Raw genomic sequence first — 3,842 nt, 5'->3', positions numbered from 1 at the left:
AGAAATTTTAATATGATTTCTCTCAGAGAAAAGAAGACAAGAAGTAGTATTTTGGGCAACTTAATAACAATGATTAACAAGTTCAGTCTAATCTATTAATTTTGTCATTCACAAAAATATTGATTGAGTACCTATGGTATACCAGATGGTAATGTGGCACTGTGGAGACACCAAAGAACAAGATAAAGACCCAACTTTATTATGTGAAAGAGTATAATGGCAAATCAACATCCAAAAACACTGAACGAATGCCAAATGTTTGAAAATAATAATACAGAACAATTCACTTCTGAATAACCTAGGTGCAGCGATGCAGCTGAAGACAAGTGCAGAATACGTCAAGCAGGACAAAGTAATTGGGGATGAATAGTCCCGGTAAGCTTGGCAATTTTTCTTTTTTCTTTTTTTATACTTCAGTTTTTAAAATATTTTAAATTTGGAAAACCAATCCTTTTGAACTTTAATTCATTTGCACTCTTAGTCTATAATTGTTGTTGTCTACAATGCTTCTTTCTTCCTTTTCCTTTGCCTTCCTGTGTCTTTGTTTTGCTGCGGATGTGTGTGTGTGGTTGGGGGAGAGAGAGAGAGAGAAGAGGATTGGAAAGAAAGATAGATCATGGAATCAGAAGTTTAGGGCACTTTTTTGCAAAAAATATTAAGAATGAAATAATATATGTTTCTTGCCATTCAATCTTTATGAATTGTCTCAATTATGATATAGATTAAGAAGTCTGTACATAAAATATGAGCCTAAAATGCTTTATTTATTCAAATAGTATGTAGTTATTTGCCTCTCTTTGTGAGAATAAGAATGATGAACAATATAGAATATTTATAATAGTGTGAACTAAGATAAATTGCCTTGCTAAATGACTAAGACATTTGGGTAAAGATCTAATGAAGATTACATTTCCTATGCTCTGTGACTTACCAGAAGCTATAGAACTGTTTTGTCTTCCTGGTGATCAATATGTCATAAAGATGCTGTTTGTCAATTTCTCTTACTACAGTTTGACTATACGATAAATATTTCTGTATGAGACTTTAATTCTAAGACATATATTAACTTTAAAATGTGTAAACTGTTTATAGTAGATAACAATGCTATTCAGCCAGATATCCAGTTCTCCCCATTCCAGGCATATGTGGCATTTGCTTGGTTTTAACTCCATTACAGTGAGATACTATAACATGTGTCACCCTGGATACAAGCATTTCATTCTGGTAGAATCATGTCCAGCATTCTCCTGCTGCAGCCTCAAAGAAAACCTTCATTGATATAAAAGTGAAGCGGCATCATTCCATGGCAGACAGCTACCGTAGACTGTCCCATGGTAGAGTAACTGTCTTTATACAAGCAATAAATACACTTGTTTTAAACCACTGAGTTCTGAGGTTCTCATGACAGCTTAACTGTCTGTCCTGATTTATGGATATTTTATAGAATTTCATAAAGTTATAAAAATATTTATTGTTGGGAAGAATGTTAAAGAAATATGCATTCTGCTATTCTCTGTAGTTGTAGATGATCTCTCTAGATGACCTATCGAGTGGTTTAAAAATTTCATCCCTTTTGTTTTCTATGTTCTTGCGACATAAACTTTGTTTTAAAACTTCTGAACAGGGAATTAGAAAATTAGAAGTTCAGAGTAGTGGTCACTTTAGCTATTACTGGAATTTAAAATGAAAAGTTACCCTTGGGTGTACATGATCTAAATACAATATTAGAATTTGGTAACTTCTACAAGACATAAATTCAAAAATACAGATACATGTACTTATAGACTCCATTTTCAGTCTAACAATGTACCTTAACATATTGTTCCTCCATTTCTTAACCATATTGTTAAAACTAGATGAATGGACATTTGTAATAGAAATACTAAGCAGAGATTCTTGGAAAAAGGGACCTACTGAAAAGGACGTTTCTTAACAATATTTGTGTCATGCACCCCTTTTGGGGACTTTCGAAGCCTTAAAGACTCTCTTTCAGAATAATGTTTTTTTAAATGCTTACAATTAAATTCAGAGGATTTTAAAGACAATCGATTATATTGAAATGTAATTCCAAAATTTTAAAAACGAATGTCTAATATGATGTGTATCTTTATTAACACACTAAATGAGTACATCTATTTCATGAATAATAATCTTATAATTTGAAAGTAGTAATTTTGGTAAATGATATTTTAAAATATATACTTCAACTGTATGTCATATAAAAATACCTATTTTTCCTATTGTTGACAAAAGAAAAGTGTTGTAAATACTACAGTGGTTTTGTTTAAACATATACCTGAATGAAATGCAATTTTTAAATGGACTTTAGCAAATATAAATATATATTTTTATTTGTTCTACTTATTTATCTACATGTATCAAAGCACTTCAAAACTTAGTGGCTTAAAAATTGTTTTACATTTTATCTCTCATAGTTGTTTAGTTGACTAGACTGAGCAAATCTTCACTTGACATCTCTCATTTAATCAGATGTCAGATGGGGGTGTGGTTTCCTGAAGGCTCTATCAGGGCTAAGTAGTAGTCAATTGATTTGGCTATTATTCAGCTTTACTTCTCCTCTCATGGTGGCCGCATTCCAAGAGGGAGACTTTCAAGAGCAGCTTCAGCGACCTAGGCAAAAGCTGCAAGTCATCTTATAATCTAGCCTCAGGAGACTCAATGTCACTTACGCCACAATCTATTGGTCAAGCTAATCACTAAATCTTAAACAGAATGAGAAAAGGAGAATTAAGCCCTGAGTCTCAATGGAAGAAACGTTAAAGTATTTATGGCCATATTGCACAATTCAAGTTCGCAGACACCTTGAATTCTATTTATGGACTATGAGCTTAAGAACGCCTGATATAAAGAAGTCTATAATAATTTAAGATTATACCTAACAAACTATTTCAAATTTTAAAGTTTTCAAATTGTCAGTGAGAAGGAAAATTTAAAATTATAAATGAGATATATTTATGAATTATATTAAGAATTTTAAATAAGGAATGTGTTAAGGGGAGGTGACTTTTGGAAGCAAAAACATTCTCTATTTTTAATCATACTATTTTGAGGGAGCACTGGACAAACAAGGGAACTTGAAATTAAAGAAGAGAAATATGTGTTTAATGACCATTACCCACAATTGGAAAATAACTATTAGAAAAAAGAGGAATAAAGAGAAAAAAACTTCACTAAACCAGACAAGAAAGGATAAAAAAAAGAATGAAATAATGTAAAGTAAAAATTAAGTTAAACATAATATAAACTGAAGGAATAACTCAGTGTTTGAGTGTGTTATTCTATACTACATTGACTGAAGTTCCTTAATGAAAGACAAAACCGGTCAGCTTGGGGAAAAAATGGTGTAATGCTATGCAGTTTACACAGACATGCACTTGGTATCATTAACAAACAGGGTTGAAAATAAAAATCTGTGTTATATGAAGGGCTAGATAGTCTTAGGGAATTGAGGATGTGGAACAAGTCAAATCTGTGTCTATTGCTGGCAGGATCCAAAATGGTGCAGTTACTTTGGAGAAGAGTTTAATAATTTCTTATGAAGTTAAACATACAACTACTGCACAAACCAGCAATACCACTTCTAGGTATTTGCAAAAATTATATGAAAAATGTGTGTCGATGCAAAGACTTCTACTCAAATGTTCATATCTGTATTATCCATAGCAGTCAAAAAACTGGATATAAACCAATTTAAATTAAAGTGTATATGTAAAAAATTGTTGTTCTATCCATACAAAAAATAATAGCAATAAAAAGGACAGATATTGAGACATGCAACAACATGAGATGAATCTCAAAATTATTATTCTCAGTGAAAGAAG

The sequence above is a fragment of the Homo sapiens genome, chromosome 2 (genome assembly GCF_000001405.40).
Source record: "Homo sapiens chromosome 2, GRCh38.p14 Primary Assembly".
NCBI classification, from domain to species: domain Eukaryota; kingdom Metazoa; phylum Chordata; class Mammalia; order Primates; family Hominidae; genus Homo; species Homo sapiens.
Note: the sequence above shows the minus strand (reverse complement) of the source record.